Source organism: Homo sapiens, chromosome 4 (genome assembly GCF_000001405.40).
Source record: "Homo sapiens chromosome 4, GRCh38.p14 Primary Assembly".
NCBI lineage: Eukaryota > Metazoa > Chordata > Mammalia > Primates > Hominidae > Homo > Homo sapiens.
The window spans coordinates 182,066,280-182,091,101 of NC_000004.12; the positions used below are offsets into that span (position 1 = coordinate 182,066,280).

At 40.2% G+C, this 24,822-nt stretch overlaps 1 protein-coding gene across 7 annotated transcripts in view, besides 2 other annotated features; it reads left to right on the forward strand.

The window, feature by feature from the left end:
* Nucleotides 1–24,822, forward strand: part of TENM3 (teneurin transmembrane protein 3) — a 1,355,412-nt gene that overhangs the window by 618,667 nt on the left and 711,923 nt on the right. The window lies entirely within an intron of this gene.
* Nucleotides 18,309–18,832: an enhancer, noted in NCBI's record as "OCT4-NANOG-H3K27ac hESC enhancer chr4:183005741-183006264 (GRCh37/hg19 assembly coordinates)". NCBI's record gives its function as "activates a minimal SCP1, AML or CMV promoter by ChIP-STARR-seq in naive H9 embryonic stem cells {active_cell/tissue: H9 hESC(naive)}" and the evidence as "EXISTENCE:reporter gene assay evidence [ECO:0000049][PMID:30033119]".
* Nucleotides 18,833–19,354: an enhancer, noted in NCBI's record as "OCT4-NANOG-H3K27ac hESC enhancer chr4:183006265-183006786 (GRCh37/hg19 assembly coordinates)". NCBI's record gives its function as "activates a minimal SCP1, AML or CMV promoter by ChIP-STARR-seq in naive H9 embryonic stem cells {active_cell/tissue: H9 hESC(naive)}" and the evidence as "EXISTENCE:reporter gene assay evidence [ECO:0000049][PMID:30033119]".

Consider the following 24,822-nt stretch of genomic DNA (forward strand, 5'->3'; position numbering starts at 1 on the left):
TTATACACCCTCTGGGAGAAATGTCTACTCAAGTCAACTCAAATGTTTTCATGTGTGTAATGTACTTAGCATACTGCAAAGAAAATACTCAGTCTGTAAATACTAACTAGTGATAATGATGTCAATAACAACAACAACGATAAGGAGATTTGGACAATGGTCTGGGTTCCGCCACAGCCTCGATGTGTGGCTTTAATCAAGTCCATTAGGGAACGAATTTAAGAATGGAGGCTAAAAAAATTCTTGATTCTCTAAGGCTCTTTTAAATTTTATTTATTTATTTTTGCACAACTTAAAGTAAGAATTATGGTAAAAAAAAAATATATATATATATATATATATAAGCTTGGGCCAGGCGCGGTGGCTCATGCCTATAATCCCAGCACTTTCGGAGGCCAAGGCGGGCGGATCACAAGGTCAGGAGATCGAGACCGTCCTGGCTAACACCATGAAACCCCGTCTCCACTAAAAATACAAAAAAATTAGCCGGGCGTGGTGGCAGGCGCCTGTAGTCCCAGCTACTCGGGAGGCTGAGGCAGGAGAATGGCGTGAACCCGGGAGGCGGAGCTTGCAGTGAGCCGAGATCGCACCGCTGCACTCCAGCCTGGGCGACAGAGCGAGACTCCATCTCAAATATATATATATAAGTTTGAACACAGAGGACACATTAGCAGATGCCAGGCCACACTTTTCAGTGACACTTTGATATCCCCTTTCACTGACCATGGCTCTGCCAGGACCTACTGTGGATACCTCTGTTCTGGGAGCCTCCTTATCTCCAGCCAGTCCGAGGGTCCTTTCTGTCTTTCCCCCTCTATCTGCCATCCTTCCTTTACATTTGCTGCCCTTAGGATCTGAACAGAAGGAGAGTAAGACTTCAGGGATGAGAGGCCGGCAGCATTCCCTCCTTTCAGGAACTTTTAGAGCTATTACCTTATCTCTTCATTGTTGAGTGATGCTGAAATACAACTGCAGAAACTAGATATGACATCTATGGCAGGGACACATCTCAGACGAACGGAGTGTTCATGAAAGGACCTGATAGTGTTCCGCTGCATGAAACTTCAGCAGCTTATTCATGGCCGTAAACGAGTTTCTCCCCAAACCCCATCATTCGGGGTTCAGTGCACCTGACTGAAGGCTACAAAGACATTACTGCGTGTATTTAGTGTGAGTTTGAGGCCAAAATAAAAAGGTAATATGGCATTATCATCAACTCACAATGTGCCTGACCGAGGCTTTGGGAGACACAACCCAAAGTAATAATTAAAAAATAATCTTCCTGTCGATTTTAAATCCTAGGAGCTGCAAAGGATAGAGGAAACCCCAAGTGGGCTTTTAAGAGCTCTAAGTTACCTGAAGAAACCTAGTTTCTGCCTCCTGAGATGGAGCTGACTCTCTCTTGCTGGAATATTGGTGATTTCTCCAAGGCCCTTCATATGTGGAGGGACTCCCTTGCTCTGCTCAGGGATTAACCATTCTTGGTCTCTGCAGTATAGGATGATTTCAATCTACTTACTTTAAAACATGTTTTAATTATGTTGAAAAAGTTTGTGTTACCATTAACTGGCAGTCTGATTTCTCTATCGAGGCTTTTTCAGGGTCATTTTTTTTTTCCAGTGCAGTCACATTATCGTGATTTTAGCTGTAATTGTTTGCATTGCATTAGTGGATTGTGGCTGCCAGGAAAGAGAACTAGCGATTTCTGGAATGCCTTCTACATAAGGCACCATGCTGGGTATACCATTCATGAGACAATTCCTTAAAACTGGCAGTGATGTTAGCCCCAATTTAGACAGATGTTGAGACTCAGAGAGTTCCGATAGTTCTGTAGTTGATGGGTGGCAGAGTGATGATTTGAATGTTACCTCTGTCTAACCCCAAAGCCTATGTTTGTTCCACCAAACCCTTTGCGGATAGAATAAGGCACCTTTTTAATGGATTTGGAGCCAGGAGAGTGAGCAGGGCAAAGACATCCATATTTGCGCTTCCCATTTATACAATGGTTGCAAAATTATGGGTTTGAGGATGGCAGTGGGAAGTTTGTAAGAAGCTTCCCATTCTTGCAAATAATGAGGATACAGAATCTTTATTTTTTAAAGTTAAAAAAACAAATGCTACCTCCATGTGGAGTTTCAGTATGAATCACATTAAAAAAAAACCAAAACCCTACATTGCTACTACTAAGCAATAAACATCTTTTGGTTCCTAAGATGAGAAATGAGGAAAGGTTTTCATTATAGCAATTAAACTGTCTTAATGCAAATGAAATATGAAAAAAAAGCAAGAAATGTATTATTTTTCCTGCTTGATGAAAACAGCTTCCAGAATTATATCATAAAAGAATATTTAATTAACTTTTAAATAAGAAGATGAACCTTTCCTTTTTATTGTAATTTCCCTAAAATATTTTGGTAATAGGTCTTACCCACACATGTACATAAGAATGTTGTAAATAAAAACATATTTCTGGTGATGCATATTAATGAACCCTACAAAATATTTGAGTAATCTCTAAACATGAAGAATTTTGGTAGTGAAAAATGAATAAACGCATTAATGATCAAGATTAAAACTTAATGATAATCATTATCTATGAGTACAAACATTAAAAATGAGCATTCTAAATATCCTAAAATAAAGGTAAATCAATACAAATTAATAGGTGTTAGATTTTAGAGAAGCTTCCACATGGAAAATAGATTTTAAAAATTAGAAGAATATGATAGAAAAAAGCATAACAAAATGAAATAAAACACAATATTAGAAAATCTCAGCTTGTGATTCAGTGCAAGAAAAAGAAAAAAACCTTCATGAGTGAAATTGAAAGTGATAAAACTAACTAGTTCCATGCCAGTAATAGACCCAGTAATAAGCAAAGTAAAAACTGAATTTAAAGAATTTGCAGAGGTAACTCTGAAAAAAGAGAATAATAAACAAGGCAGCCAAAGCATAATTTGTTTCATGGAGAGCTGAATATTCCTATTTCCTTTCTGGCATTAAAATATCAGCATTCCATGGTACAGTATTTTGATGTTATATTACATTGTTTTGTATCATAACATCATGAAATAAATTCAACATTTTCAGTACCCTCTTCCTTGGGCCTCATTTTGCTCACTGTAATTAGAAGAGATGAGCAGGAAGGACTTGATCAGAACCAAATTTCCAGAAATTCCTTCTAGCCCCCTTCTACCATATATCACTGATGCTTCCTTGTTGGGCCCCTCAACTAGAATATGCACCCCATTTTTATTTATTTGCCCCTTTGTCAGATTTAGTCTTGTGTTCAAACCCTTTATTTTCAAAATTCTGCAGGTGTGTTATACACCAAGTAAATGTCAGTGCTTTCTTCTTATTACCAAACCTGGGACATCCCTCAGGAAAATACATACATAGATGCATAAACACACACACACACACACACACACACACAAATACACTCTTGCACACACAAGAGATCAGAGAATCAGGTCATGACAGCTCTCCCTCTGCTCAGAAATCTTGACAGGGCTTCTAACTCTCTAAATTCCAGACACTAAGGCTACAGATGAAGGGAGGAGTTTCTGTCCCCTCTTCTTCAAGGTAAGGACAGCCAGTTAAACAGGCTGTTGTAATGCAAGGCATTATAATACTACAGCATGATATTTAGGATCATTGACATCAAACTGGGATGTCAGGGAAAGCTTCCCAGAGGTCATACTTGAGGTGATTATTAAATAAGAGTTTGTAAAGAGAAGAAGGAAGTTAAGAATGTTTCTAGGCAGAGGCTGCAGACTGTGTGGAGATACAGAGGCATGACAAGCCCCAGTATATTATGAGTCTGCAAGAAATTCCAGGTGTCTGAATTTCTGAGTGGAGGCACAGGTGGGGGAAGGCCATAGCTGTGGGTAGGGACGATGTACCATTAGTTATGCTCATGTCCATCTCCCCACCTTGATTCTAAGTGCTTTATGCATAGAAAAAGCATCTTACTTATTTTTGCATAGTTCCGCAGCCTCAGCTAATGCCTTACAAATAGAAGGTTTTGAATTGAAGATTTAAGAATACACATATAGGCTGGGTGCAGTGGCTCACACCTGTAATCCCAGCCCTTTGGGAGGCCAAGGTGGGTGGATCACTCGAGGTCGGGAGTTCAAGACCACCCTGGCCAACATAATAAAGCCCATCTTTACTAAAAATACAAAATTAGTTGGGTGTAGCGGCACACGCCTATAATCCCAGCTACTTGGGAGGGTGAGGCAGGAAAATAGCTTGAACCTGGGAGGTGGAGGATGCAGTGAGCTGAAATTGCGCCGCTGCACTGTAGCCTGGGTGACAGAGTGAGACTCTGTGTCAAAAAAGCAGAATACACATATACACAGAAGAAAAACATAGAATGGGAGAGTAAAGCAGTGACAGATGAGTCAGTCATACAAAAATCTAAGAAGCCAGGTTAATAAAAGGTAGCAGATTTTCAATTACTTATTTCTCTGAATTCCAATGATTGAGAAGTGTACTGTCTGAAAGATGACTCAGGCTGTAGACAGAGGTACAGATATTCCACAACATCCTCACTTGCTACAATTTGGGGGTACCTTTCCTCTATGTCTAACTCCTGGTTCCTTCAGAGCAATTTTCCATTCATTGCTTCTGTTGACATTGCTCTCTTCCTCTTCCAAGGACTTGAACTTCAGGACTCCTTTTACCTCCATTCCAGCCAATGCACTAACTTCCCTCTTGAGGATGAGCCCAGAAACCTCAGGACCCACTTTCAAAGCCATCTCCAGCTACTGACGCTTGAATTAAGCAAAGTGTTGGTCCCTTTTTCCCAAGAAGAACAAAAACTTACTTCACAAAAATAAATTCAGGAAGAGCATACTATTTCAAGACTATGGATATATTCATATAGATGGATGTTTTATTTTCCAAATAAGTTCTTATTTGAGCCAGTGCCTGACACATTGCTTCGTAAACTCACACTAGAGCTTGGAGTTTATGGATTATCTCAGGAATGGCTTGAGACATCTCCAAATGTGAACAATTATAATTATTCCAATATCTGCTCAGCTACCTCCAGGATCCTGCCTAATTACACATTTTTCTTGCAGATTCAAAGTGTGCTTAGTTCTTCTTTCCCATTCCCATTATTTAGACTTAAATCATGATATTTCTTTTCTTTTTTCTTTTCTTTTTTTTTTTTTTGAGATGGAATCTTGCTCATTCGCCCATGCTGGAGTGCAGTGGCGCGATCTCGGCTCGCTGCAACCTCCATCTCCCGGGTTCAAGCAATTCTCCTGCCTCAGCCTCCCAAGCAGCTGGGATTACAGGTGCCTGCCACCACACCACATATTAGTTTTGTACATATTTGGGGGTACATGTGATAATCTGATGCATTTATATAATCAAGTGAGAGTAATTGAGATATATAGCACCTTAAATATTTATCTTTTCTTTATGCTATGAACATTCGAATTGTTCTCTCCTAGCTATTTTGAAATGTACAATAGATTAATGTCAACGATAGTCACCCTACTGATCTGTCGAACACCAGGGATGGTTCTTAATCACTTCTCTTTTTTGGCCAATTACTGTACTTCAGGGCCTTTTAAATGTGATTTTATGGCTACAGAAACCTAACATCATATTCAAAAGATTCTTTAAAGTGATCTAAAAACCAAAACCAAAACAAAACAAAACAAAAAAAACACTAACCTTTGAGCCTATGCCAACACATTGCGGAGAAATGTTCTTATTTGTTAGGGGTTTGTTTCAGTAAAAATGACAGATAATGCCATCACTGTCTGATCACCCATACATGGCTTGAAGCCATTTCTGGCTGCCCAGTTGTCTTGTCTTTCTACCTTTCCTTGCATGATGATAATCCTTACTGCTTAACTGCCTTGTGGGATACTTTTCAACTATCAAGGACTATCTGGAGTATTTTTTCACTCTCACCCATACAGATACTAGCTCTCCAGTATTTCTTCTAGGAAACAATAGCATAGACATTGTTCATGAAATCAAGCATTAGGTCTCCACTGCACTCATAATCTGGCTGCTCTTTTCAGTAGGGTGGACACCGGCAGTCAGTGCTGACTCATAGGGTACACTGTAGTAGTAAGCAATGTCTAACCTAAAACTAACCCTGCCAACACCTTGAGCTTGGACTTCCAGCCTCCAAAGGGTAGGCAGTGAACAGCAGCTCTCTATCCAATCAATTTTGCTTTACCTCAAAACCTTAGCTAATTCTTGAAACCAAATAAATTTCTAATTATTGATAATAAAGTATTTGAAACAATATTTAAAGAAATATATACTTCCACTCTAGGCATAATCAGATATCTTGCATAGTAAACCTCAAAGTTATCAACTGCTGCTTAATCTTTTTCTCATCAAACGTATCATGAGGCCTGAACAGCTTCTTAAGGTGACACATTCTTTGGGTTGTATTTGTGGCTCTGGGTAGGGCTTTGCAATGGCCTGGGAACTTGATGAAAGACTTTTTGTGTGTCATCTCATTTTCCTCCATCTCATCTTCATGCCAATCCTCTAAGATAGGTGCCGTGGACTGAGTTGTGCTCCCCAAAATTTGCATTTTGAAGCCCTAACCCCCAACATGACAGTATTTGGAAATAGGGCCTTTAGGAATGTAATTAAGGTGAAATGAGATTATAAGGGTGAAGCCCTAATCCAATAGGACTGGTGTTCTTGTAGGTAAAAGAAGAGACACCAGAGGCCCAAAGGTCAGGCCATGTGTATTAATCTGTTCTCACACTGCTATAAAGAAATACTTGAGACTGGGTAATTTATATAAAGAAAAGGGGTTTGACTGATTCACAGTTCTGCATGGCTGGAGAGGCCTCTGGAAACTTACAATCATGGCAGGAGGCGAAGCAGAAGCAGGCACCCTCTTCACAAGGCAGCAGGAGAGAGTGAGTGCAAGCAAGCAGGGGAAATGCCAGGTGCTTAAACCATCAGATCTTGTGAGAACTCACTCACTATCATGAGAACAGCATGGGGGAAACCAGCCCCGTGATCCATCACTTCCCACTGGGTCCCTCCCACAACATGTGGGGATTATGGGGATTACAATTCAAGATGAAATTTGGGTGGGGACACAGCCAAACCATATCACTATGTGAGGACACAGAGAACAGGTGGCCATCTGCAAGCTGGGGAAAGAGCCCTGACCAGAAACTAACCCTGCCAACACCTTGAGTTTGGACTTCCAGCCTTCAGAACTGTGAGAAAATACATTTCTGTTGTTTACGCCATCCAGTCTGTGGTGTTTTGTTATGGCAGCCCAAGCAAACGAATACAAAAGGTGTTGGCCTCATGTAGCAAGAGAGGAAACCAAAAGGCAGAGGACTGAGTTAAATCACCATGAGGTTGAAGAGCTCAAAAAATAGGGACCTTAGTCTGTCCGAAGTCAAAATCCACACTTTTTTCCACTTCATCACACAGGTTCTCTGTGTAACTACTCAGTCTTGCCCCATCTCAGTCCTTACCCCAGGGAGAAATTGGGCCTTTCAGCAACTTCTTGGTCCAGGAAATTTGGCTCAGGCATCATGAAAACCCAAATTCCCTATGGACAATGCAGCTCCACCATCCCTCTCTTTGTTCACAGAATTGGCACAAAAGCACCTCAAGATCATCTACTTTAACCCCTTCACTTTGCAGACAAGGCAGGAAGAAGTTAAGTTTGTGGCTGGCCTTTTCCAAATAGGATAAGATTTTCCTCTGAATTTTCGATACTCAATAGCTCAGAAATGTTATAATATGCATTTTAACCAATAATATAAATTAGTTATTAAGTCATCTGGCAGGGTCCCAGCTCTGTTATAGGCTGCTTTTGACACAGAATTATGGCTAAACTGCTTTACAAGGGCCAAATCATTTTCCTCGAAACATAAAACACATGTAACCAGATCACATCCAGGCTTTATAAACAGACGTGTGTCTGTACCACTTGCTCAGCAGAATCCACTGTGGGCTCTGCTGCCTGTTTATGGAGCTGTGGGTGCATCAGCAGGAAGCAGTGTCCCAGGCAGGGTAGTGGGAGGCACCCTAGCCCAGCAGGAGTGGCAATAGATGAACTGTCATTTTATAGCATCTACCTGCCTTTGACTCACACATCACCAAGAGTCAAAACGCATTGAAACCTATTTTTAACAGCCAGGCAAAGGGAGAAAGACTTGTGGAAGGAATTTAAAGTCTTCTCTTGAGAATGTAACACAAGCTACCCTCTAAAACTTTCTTGGGAGAAAGAGTTTTTGTTTGAAGGAGAATTAAAACTCAAACTCCGCTGAAAAGCACAAACAAAAGCTATTGTTGCTTAAGCAAGAAAGAAAGATGGAAACTACAAGATTAAGAAATGAGGCGGTGTGGGGCAGCAGTGGGGTCAGAATGTTTGGTTTGCAGGTAAGATGTGGTCTGCGAGAAATTAATGAGGGAGGAAAGAGAGAAAGATGTCACAATAGAATTAAATCAGAGGTCATGTCCTCAGGCAGATGTTCACAAGATCTATCACACTCCAATTAAGAGTCTACAACACAAAAACAAACGTGGTGCTTAAAAATGAAGGAGGTGGATCTTCAGAAAACTTCAAAAAGAATAGTCAGTGGCTAAGAGATCAGGGCAGGACAAGAAAGGTGAATGTGTTGGCTCCCATCCAATTAAGGACTGTTTCAAATTTTATGTCCAGATTATGGCATAAGAGGCTGCAAATTCCAGTGTCCACGGGGGTTATGTTACACGGTTACAGATGGCCAGAGTGGCGCCTGATGGGGCCAACTCCACACCGCATGGCTCAGCTCCAACCCATTGTTACCATGCAAGAAGCAGGCCCAGTACTGCCAGAGACTGTGATTTTTCTCAGACGTGGCAGAGTGGCAGAAATCTAGATTTGTATGTAAAACAGTGGACACTTGTTTTTTTTCTTTTTTTTTTTTTTTTGAGATGGAGTCTCGCTCTGCCGCCCAGGCTGGAGTGCAGTGATGCAGTCTCCGCTCACTGCAACCTCTGCCTCCTGGGTTCAAGTGATTCTCCTGCCTCAGCCTCCTGAGTAGCTGGGACTACAGGCACATGTCACCACACCCTGCTAATTTTTTGTATTTTCAGTAGAGACGGGGTTTCACCATGTTGGCCAGGATGGTCTCGATCTCCTGACCTAGTGATCCACCCGCCTTGGCCTCCCAAAGTGCTGGGATTACAGGTATGAGCCACCACGCTCAGCCGACAGTTGGTTTTTAATAATCTTCAAACACCTTGTGGACAAAGCAAGACCTGTCTGTAGGCTAATTTGCTCTCAACTCTCCAACTTCTTCTGTCTTCTTCAAGAGATGGCCTCTGTGGTTCCCCGGATTTTCTCCCAATCCATATCATCAGACTCAGAATCAAAACATGCGTTCCTTTTCTTCTGTCATTGCTCTGGACAAGAGCCATCAACATCTCCCCATGGCCTTCTTGGTGAATTTCAAATGTTTCAGCCCTGCACTCAAGGCTCTGCATAGTGCCTGCCGTCTCACTCTACAAAGTTTCATCGTGTGCTTCCCAACGGGAACCTGTGGCCCAGACTGGAAATTTTATGCATTTTCCCCTCAAATAAAATCTGTACATTCCTGCAGTCTCACCTTAGTTCTTCATATATCTTCTATCCTTTTCTTTTTAAGAGGTAGTGACTTATTCTGTTGCCCAGGCTGGAGCACAGTGGTGTGATCATAGCTCACTGTAGCTGTGAACTCCTGGGCTCAAGCAATCCTCCCACCTCAGCTTCCTAAGTAGCTGGGAATACAGATGTGTGACACAATGCCTAATTTTTTTATTTTTTTATAGAGATGAGGTCTCACTATGTTGCCCAGGCTGGTCTCGAACTCGTGGCCTCACACAATCAAAGTGCTGGGATTATAGGCATGAGCCACCATGCCCAGCCTCTTTCTCCTTCTTCTTCTTCTTTTTTTTTTTTTTTTTTTTGAGACAGAGTCTTGCTCTGTTGCCAGGTTGGCATGATCTTGGCTCACTGCAACCTCCGCCTCCTGGGTTCAAGCGATTCTCTTGCCTCAGCCTCCCAGTAGCTGGGATTACAGGTGCCCACCACCACGCCCAGCTTATTTTTGTATTTTTAGTAGAGACGGGGTTTCACCATGTTGGCCAGGACGGTCTCGATCACTTGACCTCGTGATCCACCTGCCTCGGCCTCCCAAAGCGCTGGGATTACAGGCGTGAGCCGCCACTCCCAGCCTCTTTCTCCTTCTTTATAATCAAATTCCAGTGACCACCTGATCCTTCAAGACATCACTCACATATCCTTTCTTCTGGGCTCGTTGTGCTGCATGTTCTCTTCTACCACTCTTCTATGAAGCTTCTGACATGTCTCTTCTAAACACGTATCTCTTAATTTTGGGGGCTGTATGGCTGTTTCCTCCACACAACCCTGAGAGTTTAACTCAGGGATTGGCAAACCTTTTTGGTAAAGGGCCAAACAAGAAAGACTTTTGGCTTTGTGGGCCCTGTGATCTCTGTGGCAACTACTCATCTGCTGAAAAGCAGCCGTAGACGAGATGTAAGCACATAGGCACGGCCATGTTCCCATACAGCGCTTTATAAACACAGGTGACCGCATCTGGCCTGGAAAGCACAGTTTGCCAACCTCTTGCCCTGCTTGGACAAGGACAGAGTCTTCTTGCTATTATTATATAATAGATAATAAATGTTCATTAGAGGATAAATCCCTCAAAACTCAATTCAACTTGATTTCTTCCATAACCTTTCCTTGACAGTCACGGACACAGCAGCATTTTCCAACTTCCGAACATCTTCAAGTACTTGGTATCCAGGTATCTCCTCATATGACTCTTGCCATCATTGTGTGATATTCACTTCATGCTGCTGTGATGAATTAGGGTTGATCTATATCATTTCCAGAGTCTTTTGTTCTAAAATCCTATGGGTCAGTTCATTGTCTTGTACTGCCACCGACTTGTATATTTTTGGGTTTTCTCCACTTCAAATAAATTATAAGCTTCTAGAGAATAAGCCATATCTAATTTTTCTTGGGATTGCTAAAATGCTTTATATAGTGCTTTTGTCACAATATTCATTCATTTATTCATGTAACACTGTTTGTGGGATGATATGTAGCACAAACATAAAAATAAGCAAAATGGAAATGGCCCCTGCTTCAGCTGAAGTCAAAGTCTAGTGAACTAATGATTGTATCATCATAAATTGAGATGTACTTTCTGAAAGAAAGTACATAATTTTTAAACAACATTGCACAAAGAAAGCAAACAAATACTGGGGCAGGTAGAGGAAGGAAGGGCAGGAAGGACTTCCCTGAGGAAGTAATGCTTGAATCAAGATCCATTTATTCAACCAATTCAGTACATATTATTTGCCAGGCATTATTCTAAGCACTTGGAATATAGTGGCAATCTAAGCAGACAGAGGTTCCTGCCTTGGTGGAGCTTGTTTTCTAATGGGAGCTGAAGAGTAAGTAAAAATTAGATTGAAAGGAAAAAGGGGTTGAATAACATTTCTGAAAGAAGGAACTGCATGTACAAGGATCCTGGGTGGGAGGGGGCGTGGCACCATCCTTGCAGTGGCCCGTCCCACTGTGGATGGGGGCTTGTTGAGGTGTGACCTCATAGGTAATGTAACCATATAATTTATTCTCTAAAGCAGAACACTCTTGACAGTAAATGAGGCATTATGAATCATTACAACAAGCAAAAACTGGTATCGTTCCAGCATATTGGATATATGAGCCTGGGCAAGGTAGCAAGACCTCATCACAACTAACAACAAAAATAAATACATAAATAAATAAACCAGCCCATGCCTGTAGTCCCAGCTACTTGGGAGTCTGAGGTGGGAGGATCACTTGAGCCCAGGAGTTTGAGGCTGCAGTAAGCAGTGATTGTGGCACTGCACTCTAGTCTAGGTGACAGAGCAAGACCCTGTCTCAAAAAATAAACGAAACAGCCGGGTGCAGTGGCTCACACCTTTAATCCCAGCACTTTAGGAGGCTGAGGCGGCTGGATCATGAGGTCAGGAGATCAAGACCATCTTGGCCAACATGGTGAAACCCTGTCTCTACTAAAATGCAAAAAATTAGCCGGGCGTGGTGGTGTGCACCTTTAGTCCCAGCTACTTGGGAGGCTGAGGCAGGGGAATCGCTTGAACCTGGGAGGTGGAGATTGCAGTGAGCTGAGATCATGCCACTGCACTCCATCCTGGACAACAGAGCGAGACTCTGCCTCAAAAACAAAACAAAAACAAAAAAACAAAACTGGACATCCGAGTATCCTACTCAGGCCACATAAAGATTTTAACGTGACCACATTGATACTTTTTAAAACAATCCTTCTCACTGCTGTGGAAAACTGATTTGGGGAGGAACTGTGTCAGTGTGAAGAGGCCAGTTGCTATGCTACTGCAGACATCCAAGTAATAGAGCAGTGTGGCCTGAGCTGGGGGTGGGGAGCAGAGGAAATAGAGAGAGAGAGGGGAATAATATTTAGAGGTATTTCAGAAGCAATTTTAACAGGACTTGGGTGATATTATTAGTGGTGGAAATGAATGGAAGAAAGCATGGGGTGAAGTAGAATGGGAAGGTCATGTTGGAAGGAAGAGAGAGTTTACATATTCAGGTGCCCAGACCTACTCTTGGCACCAGCCACTAAGCCTGGGAGTATTTTGAGAGCTGGTCTTAATGAATCTGAAGATTGCAGCTAACACCACAATTTCCATTAGTGATAATTAGTAAGAGTGTAACTGAGGCTTTGACATGGGAAAGAGGTTGATAGAGCAAAGTACTCCCCAATGGACAATGAGTAATAATTTGTGCTTTTGTCAAAATTGCTGGTGGACTTTGTGTACTTTTAGGGAAGCAGAGGTTTTCATGGTGGAGGGTAGCTTGATATTGAAAATTCAATATTAGGTGCTAGAATACCAGAGTCAAGAGTAAAGAGTTGGCTGGGTGTGGTGGCTCATGCCTGTAATCCTAGCACTTTGGGAGGCCGAGGCGGGCAGATCATGAGGTCAGGAGATCGAGACCATCCTGGCTAACACGGTGAAACCCTGTCTCTACTAAAAATACAAAAAATTAGCCGGGCGCAGTGGCGGGTGCCTGTAGTCCCAGCTACTCAGGAGGCTGAGGCCAGAGAATGGCGTGAACCCAGGAGGCAGAGCTTGCAGTGAGCTGAGATTGTGCCACTGCACTCCAGCCTGGGTGACAGAGCAAGAGAAAAAAAAAAGAGTAAAGAGTTATAGGAAGTGACAACCAGACCAACAAATAAGAGCAAGAGCCGTGATTTGTGGACATTGATGTTTCAGAGAGATGTTTAGCTGAAATAAGCAACCAGGACTATATCTGGAAGCTGAGTTTAATACATAATTCAGAAACCACCTTAACTCACTGCTTTAGTTTTAAATGAGATGTTGAAATTGTTGTCCAGCAGTAGTGCAGAGCTGACTCCTCATCAGTCATTTCTCTGGCCAGCACGTGCTGCCCAGGTGGGAGAATTTCGTTTCGTTCTGAGAGCTTTCAGTCAATCCGATTGCATCTGACCGGGAAGGTCTCAGTAAAGATGTCACTTCACCTTTTACCCTCAGGCTGAGTCAGCGAGGAAAGCAAAAGAAACTGAGTGGCCAAAGCTCTCGACTACATGTCAAGAATCCTTTGCCCCTTCCTCCCACAGCTTCACGCAACTTCACTGTTAGCCAATTATTGTACCCCTTTACTTAGGAGTACCCAGTTACAGAATTGTTAGATGTAAAACAATCCACTCGTCTTAACCATGCAGAGATACTGAAGAAGGAAAAGGAGCTTGAATAGTGAGCTCTTTGTGTGTGCATCTGTTCTTGCAATATGCTGATCCTCGATCACCTCTGCCTAACCCACGTTTCAAAACTCTTTGCAAGTAAGGATGTGGAAATAGTTCCACCTGAGGCCAGATGTGAAATTCAGGTTGGGACTTGGAGCTGTAAAATATCGTACCTTGACTTCTTTCAAAATCAAAATATTCAATTACACAGCCATTAAAAAAGATGTTATAGAAATATGTTTCAAGACATTGGAAGATATTCATGAGAAATTATTAAATCAAATACTAGATTATAAAAGAATGTGCTCAGTATAATTCAATTTCTATTTTTAAAACAGGTGTAGAAAGGACTTGAGTGTAAAGTAAAATCTTAAAAGTAGTGACCTCTAGGTAGTGAAACTAGTAAAAATTTTTATTTTCTATGTTTAGATTAACAATATTGTTTAAATTGTTCAGTAACAGGTACTACTTGTGTTATAAAAATGTATGTACTTCTAAATGTACTATCCAACATTCATAAACGTGCATGGAAGCCACACTATATTATCATCCATCCAGTGAAACAGGGATATAACCTGGCCGCTCTCGTGTAATGACAGAACATTCAATTCAAAGTTGGGCAGGCCCAGCATGGTGGCTCGCGCCCGTAATCCCAGCAGTGTGGGAGGCAAAGGCAGGAGGATCACCTGAGCCCAGGGGTTCACGACAAGCCTAGGCAACATAGGGAGACCCCGCCTTTATAAAAAATTAAAAATTGGCTGGGCGTAGCGACATGCGCTTGTTGTCCCAGCTACTCAGGAGGTTGAAGCAGGAGGATTGCTTGAGTCCCGGGTGTCAGGGCCTCAGTGAGCCATGATGACACCACTGCACTCCAGCCTGGGTGACAGAGCAACACCCTGTCTCAAAAAAAAACAAAGACGACTAAGTATCGCTGCCTTGCTTTGCCCCCTTTGGTAATTTAGGAGACTTCACTGTGCCTCAGCTGTCCCATTTGTAAAACAAGATTCATAATGGTTGTTAATTCTAAAGTTGTAAGAATAGATGAAAAAAATGCTTACAAATTGCTTAACATAGAGTAAGCTCCTGAAAAATATTAGTTAATCTTATGATTACTTAGGTAATACTCTTCTTGAATAGGTGCCAAGAAGTTTCCAGAATTGAGTGTTGTATTTTGTGGGCACCAAGTGCTTCAAAGAAGGATGTCTCAGGCCAGGTGTGGTGGCTCACACCTGTCACACCTGTAATCCCAGCACTTTGGAAGGCCGAGGCGGGTGGATCACAAGGTCAGGAGTTCGAGACCAGCCTGGCCAATATGGTGAAACCTCATCTCTACTAAAACTATAAAAATTAGCTGGGCGTGGTGGCACGTGCCTGTAGTCCCAGCTACTCGGGAGGCTGAGGCAGAAGAATCGCTTAAACCCGGGAGGCGGAGATTGCAGTGAGCTGAGATCATGCCACTGCACTCCAGCCTGGGCGACAGAGTGAGGCTCTGCCTCAAAAAAAAAAAAAAAAAAAAAAGAAGAAGAAGAAGAAGAAGGCTGTCTCTGGTCAAGGCCAATGCCAAGCACACTGCAGAAGCAGTGGTTTTATGGGAAACTGTTAGAGAAAACCATTAGCCAGAGGGGCTGACATTTCCTGTCCCTTGCAAGCAGTTATCCTACAGCATACCTGATACTTTTAAGTGACTTGGCTCCCCGTAGATTCTTGATCCATCCAACGCAGAAATTCTAGCACTGAACCTAGGCGAAAAAAAAAATGTTACTATTCCTGTGTCTTTTAGGTTACTCTGGGCACTGAACTGAGGCTTTTGTGTATGGAGTGACCAGATAACTTCAAGGATGGTAATTGATGATACCAAAACCCTATTGACAGAGTCATTTTATTGGAACTAAAGAGAGTTTGGGGTAGATATATATTTGGGGAACATAATTTTACTTGCTTAGGGTTATTTAAACATATACAAAAGTAGAGGGAATATTGTAATTGCCTTAGTTCATTCAAGCTGCTACAACAAAATACTACAAACTGGGTGACTTATAAACAACAGAAATTCATCTCTCATAGTTGTGGAGGCTGGGAAGTCCAAGATCAAGGTGCCAGCAGATTCAGCTTCTGGTGAGGGCCTGCTTTCTTGTTCGTAGGTGGCACCTTCTCTCCATGTCCTCACATGGCAGAAAGAGCAAGGCAGCTCTCTAGGATCTCTTTTATAAGGGTACTAATTCCATTCATGACTCCATCCTCATGACCTAATCACCCCCGCCAAAGGCCCCACCTCTTAATACCATCATCTTGGGAGTCAGAATTTCTACATATGAATTTTCAGGGACACAAACATTCAGACCATAGCAATAATGTACATTCATGTACTCACCACCCAGCTTTCGCAATTATCAACACACATACAATATTGAAAAACACATATATTAATTGAAAATTTCAAAGCACAATTATATGATTTGCCCCTTTAGTTATCTGAGCTGAGAAAGCATGGGAGAAGTATCTGAGCTTAGCCCACTTGGCCAAATCTTGCTTTTGACCTCAGCTGAAACAGAAGAGCTGCTACCTTCCTATTGTAATACAGACAGTTCCTAAATGCTGACAGTGATAACCACCAAATACAAAACAATAAGATGGGAACATGATGCCACGTGTGTTTTCAATACCAAAGGTATCTACGAGCCTAGTGTTTCAAGAAATGCTAAAGTGTGCATGTCTATGAATATGTAGTACGCAATCCACTTCGTTCTGCCTACTCTGAACGGCCTTTATTAAGGGGTATTTTATGTGGATTCTGTGTGATAGAGAAAAACGTGCCACTCCTTGGCAACATAATATACTAGACCAGTTCTCTTTTTTTGAGATGTCAAATATCTACTTTATTATAGTGAGAAAGTGACAGTCAATTTAAATCAAAATTTATGGGGAACATTAGTAGCTGGAAGGACTTTGGCTAATCACTGTAATGTCCCCAACAAATGGTAAATGAAAGCATAAGGAAATTGAGTTAACACAAGTTAAAAGTTCACATACTTAAGGAATTATATTAGAAGACCTACAACTTAATTAAATTATCTGAAACTGCTCATTTAACTTCTATTGTACTAGTGAACATTTATGCAATTTTACTGTTAGATATGTATTAAGTAATAGGTTTGGATTGGGTCAAATTGGGAGAACCCTAATGAGGCAGAACAGGGGAAAGTTTAATCCATCATAAAGCATCATTCGGAATCTTTATATTGAATATTATTAGGCAGACATTTCCCTGGTTAGCTGGTTACTCTCTTATATCTATCATTCTGACATTTTGAATAATTGAAAAATCAAACAGGAACTCTGTACATGGAAAAAATAATCTGATGGAGAAGAAATGTGTTATTGATCACCTAATTTTTTATTTTTTTTCAGTCTTGCATTTGCTTTTTCAACTGTAGAAGTGCAAGAAGTGGTAAATGTGCCGCATTTTAGACGTTAAAGGCATTGTTAACAGATTTGACACAAAAGATAATGTTATGAGATGCAAACGACAGAAATTTACATGTCAAATCACATACTTAATATTTATTTCTTTGTTCTGAATACATTTAAAGTCAGTAAGTTCTTAAACCTGAGGTCTTAAGCTATAGAATTGTTTCTTTCAAAATACTTTTTAATATACAGGGCAGGGTATTCAGTAACTGCATATACGTGGCACTCGTCTCTTTATGGCTATTGACTTAAGCTTTTTGAGAAGAGTTGGTCTCCATAACTGAGGTTTGCCACAAATTACACATGTATGGACTCTCCCTGGGGAGATCTGTAGGAAATCCAGAATGGAGCTGTGCTCTCTTACAGAGAACCCCAAAGCAGCTGTGAAGCTTTCACTGCAGTTGAAAAAAAAAAGTGACCTTTAATTCAGTCCTTAGAAAACAATTTAGATGTCAAAGTGTAATTTTCTAAAGCCATAAGACCTTTGGGAAAATTCTGCCATTTTTTTTCTCTTCTGATGGAACTATATTGAAAAAAATAAATTATTTGCCGTGATACTTGGTAACATACACGCACACACTAAGAAATGAGTAAGAAAAAATATGGCCTCCCGCAGACTCGTTTCTAGCTGCTTGCTGGGGGGAAAAAATAAGCTGCCTCCTCTCCACTGCATTTAGAGAATTAATTCTCATATGAAATGAAAGGTCCCGTCCAATCCTATTTCACGGTAGCTTTGAGTGCTTGACTGTACCAAAGCAAAGGGCATTACTTGATTGTTCACTGTTGACATCACTTTACACCAGAAGGTGGCAATTATTTTAATAATCACACTAACAAATCTGTTTTGCCTTCAGATTGGATTTTTAGAGATAGTGTTCATTTGATTCTTGTCAAGAAGATGCCTTTGAGAACCAGTAGCATTCACTTACAGATTTATTTCTCAAGTTGGTTTTTCACTCCCACTAATTGGCTAAAATATTGCACCTCTTTTAGAATATAAGCTACAAAATTTATATATTTCTCTTTATTGAACCTTACTTGTTGACCTGAAACAATTAAAAGGATGCTATTTAAGATGACAACACAGATGAAGTGATATCATGATAGAGTATAAGTAGATGCTGACTATCATTAAAAAATGAAGAATGTACTTAATTTTTATTTACAAGGAAAACTGGTGACGAATTTCTTCAGTTGACCATGACATCTTAGAAATGTAGTGGATTAATAAGATTTATGTGGATACATAATGAAAAATCTTTCATGTATAAATCACAAGGCATTTATATCTAACTTACCTCACAAGGTGGCAAAATCCCATAAATTCCTCCATTAAACCTGAGTGGAAGATAATAGCCTTCTTGAAGCCCAGCAGTTCACAGAAAGCCTATCACCCTTCTGAACCGTATGACAAAATGCAGAGAAACATCCAAAATACCAATACACTGGAACTGCCTGAGAATGCGTCTCCTAAGACAATTTTCCAAAATCTGTCATCTGAACGCTGTTTGCCATCCATAAAGAAAGAGGAAGAGGAAGGGGAGGTAGAGAATAATGTTGGCTCTGTGAAACCGCAGCATTCTTTCCAGATGGTCTCTTTTTTCCACAGCTTAGGTTACCTACATGACAAAAGGATAAGAGGCCAGGGGTGAGCACTCTTTTTTTGTAAAACTGAGAACTCCAGACATTTGTCATCCAGAAAAAATGCCTGCTTCTCAGCAGGATAGATTTTTAAAAATTTTTCTCAGTGCCTTTCTCTAATTGGGCTTCCTCAACTTTTCACACATCCTTGCCCTGAACCAGTCCACAAAAGCCAAAGTTCTCCCACACCTAGTCACCAATGGCAGGCCCATAAATCACAAGAAATTACACACGATTTTTTTTTAACATTATGCAATTAACGCCTATAATGTGGGAAAACATTTTATAATATATAACATATTAAAGCAATAGGAAATAGCATGTCAGATTTCTCATTAGTAAATTCTAATAATGGCTAACATAAAAATGTGCCTATCTATTAATATTTTTTCTTCAATTCACACTTAAAAGAAAAATATTACAGTGTCTTGGTATCTGTGCAATGCTCATGTAGGAATTTATTATGCCAAAGTGATCTGGCGTGCCTAAACTAGCATGAGCAATATGAAAATTTAAAGATAGCTGAATGCCCATTCTTTAATTTTACTAAAATAATGAAAAACATATATTATCTGAGCTTACAAAACATGTAAATATGAATTCAAATGGAGCATATATTTTCTACATATATATTGCGTTTTTCTACTCAGTATTAAAAACCATTTCTCTTTTTATGCTTTGCTTTCTTTTGTCCTCTAAAAAGAAAGAGAAGTATGAATCTTGAAAATCATCCACCAACTCTCATATTAGGAAACTCTTCCTTTTAACTTTGAGGAATTGTTATAAGTTGTGATTTAAATAATAGCTTGTAAATTTTGACGGCATAAGAAGTCCGTAAATAGTTGCTCTTCCTTTGAAAAGGGCTGACACTAAAAGTTAGGGCATTTGAAGTGTTTTGTTGGTTTTGGGGGGACTATTTGGATGTCAATATTAAACTATTAAAACAGGACTTTGAGCAAGAATTGATAACACGGTATAATGTCTTTTACCTCCCAGCTACCAGTCTGACCCTGACTCAGGCCTCCGGAAGAAACCACTCGCTAATCACAGTCTGTCTTGCACCCAGACACGGCATCTCAGACACTGCACAAATTAAGAAGTCACCCTCAAAACCTCTATACAGTGCAGGAATACAGCTAAGACACCACACCCGAGTACTAACATCTGCAAATTCTGAAAAGCTCTTCATAATAAAAAGAAAAAGAAAGAAAAGGAAACATTTGCCACCTTCTGTGTCTTTTCTTGCCACGTGTATCTGCTCTCATGTGCAGACACTTTAATATTAGATGAGAAAATGGGAGAGGAAGCTACGATAGAAGAAGAGAAATGGAGAGAGAGCTGAAATACATCCATTTGTTTTCTTTCAAATTCATTTTATGGGCTTTTTGTAGGAAGGTGTTTTTTTCTTGATTTTTTGCTTTATTTCTGGCATCAACTATCTTTGAGTTTGCTTTTGAGTAAGAAATATTGAAGAGCAGATGAAAAGCCAGATGCAGTGGTAGGCTGCGGTGGAATTAGGTAATAGTTGCAAAAACCTACTTAATCTTTTGTTTTCTTTTTGGTTTGAGCAACACTTAGAAATAAAATGGGTCTCTAAATCACAGATGATGGCTCTGGGGAACGTAAAAGACATCTTTTGAATATGAAGAATACTACACCGACAGGCAGGAGGCCTTGGAAAGTACCAACTTTGCCAATCGCTCACTGAGTATTTTTTGAACAAGTCTTATTACCTCTAGACCTTGATTTTTTTTATCTCTGAGATTATTCTAACATTGTATGTGAATATTTTGAGTTCTTACCAAAGCATGTTTGGCCCAAGGAAGACATATAATGACATTGTTTCGATCATTGTGTTTCACATATTCAGAACAGAATTGCTCACCAGACACAGATCTGGGCACAAACCCCCTTAGCTGATCACACAAACACATTCTGAGTTTCCCCCTGTCTGTAGGCTTGTCGGAGCTCCCGGGCTACAGGAAAATGACTCCCAGGATTGAATTCAAAGGATGCAAGTAAACACTTACTAATTAAAAGAAGGGTTCATTTTATGCTGATTTACAAAACACATTAATTCCTACAAGCTAAGTCTGTTTTTGTTCAGGGTTAGTGTGGGCCAATAGATGGAAAATTGTTTTAAAACTGAAATAATAAACTTTTGGGAGAAGACACAAAACCCTTACTGTGTCCAACTTGTACTGAAGGGAAATTCCTCTTCACTGGACAAAAACGAAGGCACATGGTATACCAGGAGATCGTTTGGTGCTTGATGTCAATGAATCAGGAGCATCAGAACTATTTTTCTTGTATTAAGCTTTTAGGCTGTGTTTTGCCAACTTGCACAGGTTGAAGACAGCATTAATGTTAATGAAGGATGGAAGTCTGAGAGGCAGTGACTCTCACTTCCCCACCCCCACCTTACTTCCTTTCATGCTAAATCCATTAGTATAGATGGATCGACATTAATACACAAGAAGGACAGAATCGCTCTCCATTCGGGGACACTTTTACTTGACCCTTGGCACACATTGCCCATACGTGGCCACAGGACGTTTGACCTATTCAATGGCATTTATTCATTCATTTATTTATTCTATGTGCTTCAAACCAATTTCTCCCTAGGTACGTTACACTTCTTACACTTAGAATGTATTAAAAAGTTAAAATCTCTGACAAGGAGTACATCAGAAAGAACTTGAGGACAGAGTCTGTCATTCATCTTTGTAACCCTTAGGAGCTTTAGATCCAGCTTTGCACAGTGTCTTCTACACAGTAGGCGCTACATAAATGCTCACTGAATGAAACTGAATTGAATCGCATTGTCAAATTCTAAACTGTTCCATGTGATCTTATTATAACCTTCTTATCACCTCCTAGTAAGAAGACATGTATCTTAAGATTTATACATATACACACACGTTTCTAAAAATAATTTTACTCCAGTGAATCCAAGCAAAACATACAGTGAATGTTTCTATAAAAGCTAGATATTGAATACTTTAAATCTTATATTTACAAATGATTTTCATTATGAGTACGAAAATAAGCATAGGGCTTTCTGGATCAGTACAGAAATTTGGGTTAAAACTATACCATATAGCTGGAAGGGAGCATGTAGGTCATCTGATCTTGTGGTCTTCAAAGGGTATTCCTTGTCACCCAGAGGTTCCTTCAAGTACTCCCAGTGTTATCAAGAGGCAGGAAGGCAGATAAAGTGGTACAGGCAGTGTCAAAGGCATTCAGCTTTCTCCCCAACCTTTCAACAGAGAAAATGCATTTCAGAATATGTGGGGCTTCTCTGTACAAATGTATTTCAATGACAAGTGTCCACTGCTTTAAAATAATTAAAGCACAATCTTTAATTTTTTTAAAAAAGAGAGAGAACCACACTTTGGGAGGCCGAGGCGGGCGGATCACGAGGTCAGGAGATCAAGATCATCCCGGCTACCATGGTGAAACCCCATCTCTACTAAAAATACAAAAAATTCACTGGGCGTGGTGGCAAGCGCCTGTAGTCCCAGCTACTCAGGAGGCTGAGGCAGGAGAATTGCTTGAACCCGGGAGGCAGAGGTTGCAATGAGCTGAGGTCGGGCCACTGCACTCCAGCCTGGGCGACAGAGCGAGACTCCATCTCTAAAGAAAAAAAAAAAAAAGAGAGAGACAGCCAAAGCAAAGAAGCAAAGGACTGAATGTTTATGTCTCTCCAAAATGATTTCATGTGTTGAAATCTTAACCCACAAGGTCATATTAGAATGTGGGGCCTTTGGAAGGTAATCAAGTCATGAGGGCGGAGCTCTTAATGAATGGGATTAGCACACTTAAAATTAGTCCCTCAACCCTTCTACAGTGTGGTATGGCTCAGAAGACAGTGGTCTATGAACTGGGAAGTGGGCCCTCACCAGACCCTGAATCAATGGACACCTCAACCTTGAGCTTTCCAGCCCCCAGAACTGTAAGAAAGAAACTTCTGTTGTGTATAATCCACCCAGACTATAGCATTTTGTTACAGCAGCCTGAACAGATGAATACAACCATTTTACAAACAGGTAATCTTAGGCACAGAGATTTTCTGTCATTTTGTTAAGGTTATATCACATAGCTATGGAGTTGTGCCAAAAGTCGGGTCTCCTGATTTTTGGACCAGGAGGTACAGTCACAGCTTACCTAGGCAGCAGAGAAAAGGTAAGAGAAAGAGACTTTCTTAGATTGAAATGGGTATGCCCCAACCTAAATCTTTACAGCTGCAACCACAGGAACTCAAAAGAAAACTAAAAATCAACCAAAAAATCAATTAAGGCGCTAACACTGACTTGCGCTCCCTGCTGGCCACAATAATTAACAAGAGGCTAATACCTAGTGAGGATTTATTGATTTTTTAAAAAAACCATTGGACTCTCTCTCATGTAACAGAAGACAATATTTTTCTGTTTCTAATCCCTTTGGCTTCTAAGAAATATACATAATCACTGGGTTGCTTCAGGATACCAGGTCCTGGGTATAGTGCATTCCACTGTATTCAAAATAAACAATATTTGCCTAATTTATAATTATATCTTTCAATTTGATATTAATTGCATATGAGATTCTATTTTCATCAATCACTGTTTTTCTATTTATTAGTGTCCATTACTAATTATTAGGAGATTTTACCAATGCTACCAAATGTAAATATAGAGTATTAGCTATAAGTATCTTTGAGGAAAAGACATAGTTTATTGCTTTGTAGTAAAGTTTAATACTTTATATATGCTATCATATTCACAAAGCCAATGTTGACTCAGTCCATCTAATTCCTGGACTACAACAAAAAATAAAATAATTATTTTCATTATTAGCCAACTGAAATCTCTATGGACTTTAAAAGGTTTAGTATCTGAAATTATTTATTTGATAATCAGGCTCATGCTTTTGAACTCTTCAAAATTGCTCAATGGTAACAGACTTCAAATTGTGTAGATAATATGCACAGGTTAATTCACCTTTTCTCAAGGTGACGTTATTTTAAAGACAGTGAAGAAGTACTTTTAAATAAAACACAGCCCCAGTCTCTGGGAACATGCAAGGCTGTGCTTTTACAATTGATACGCAGAAGCAATCATGTTTGGCGACAGACCACCCCATAGTGGGAACTGCTTTCCAGCCTGGTTTTTATCAGACCAGCAGCTGCTCCATCAGTCCATTAGTGACCAGGAACAAAATGCATTTTTTAAAATCAATTAGCAGCCCCTCCAACTGAATAAAGATCCCTGGCTATGCTTTTCATCAACAAAACAAGAGCCAGGAGTGAATAAAGCTAAGGAGATCATAAATTCTTGGAAGTGGAGTCCTAAAACCTGAGAAAGCCATACAGAGGTTAACAGGTCGGACCATGCCCTCGGCAGGACTCCAGTAACTCACTCCAGGCAGACAAGAACCATATATATACGTGTACATATATATATGAAATGTGTGTGTATGTTCAGAGAATGACATTTCCCATTATTTCTCAGTAGCTTATCTTCCTAACAACCTTCACTGAAAGGAAGCCATTGATATTCAGCCTCTATGCCACATTTAGCCCTAGAAATGCAATCATGTGCCATCCCAAGGTGGATTGTAGAATTGCTATTTATTGTCTCCCATAAAATCATTTGTAATTCTAGTATTAAACATACTTTCTGTCTTCTCTAGAGAAATAATAACCATTTATTTAATCTTTCTTCTTAGGTTTGATCTTCTAATCCCTCTGTCCTACTTCTAAAATGGCACTGTTATCCTAAATCTAATTTTCTTGGCACAATAGTTTGTATACATTAGATGCTTTAACAATATTGAGTTATAAAATTATTATTTCCCCTTGTAATAACACATTGAGTATTTGAAGACAAGGATATAAAAGCTCCCACTAAACACATATCAGTTG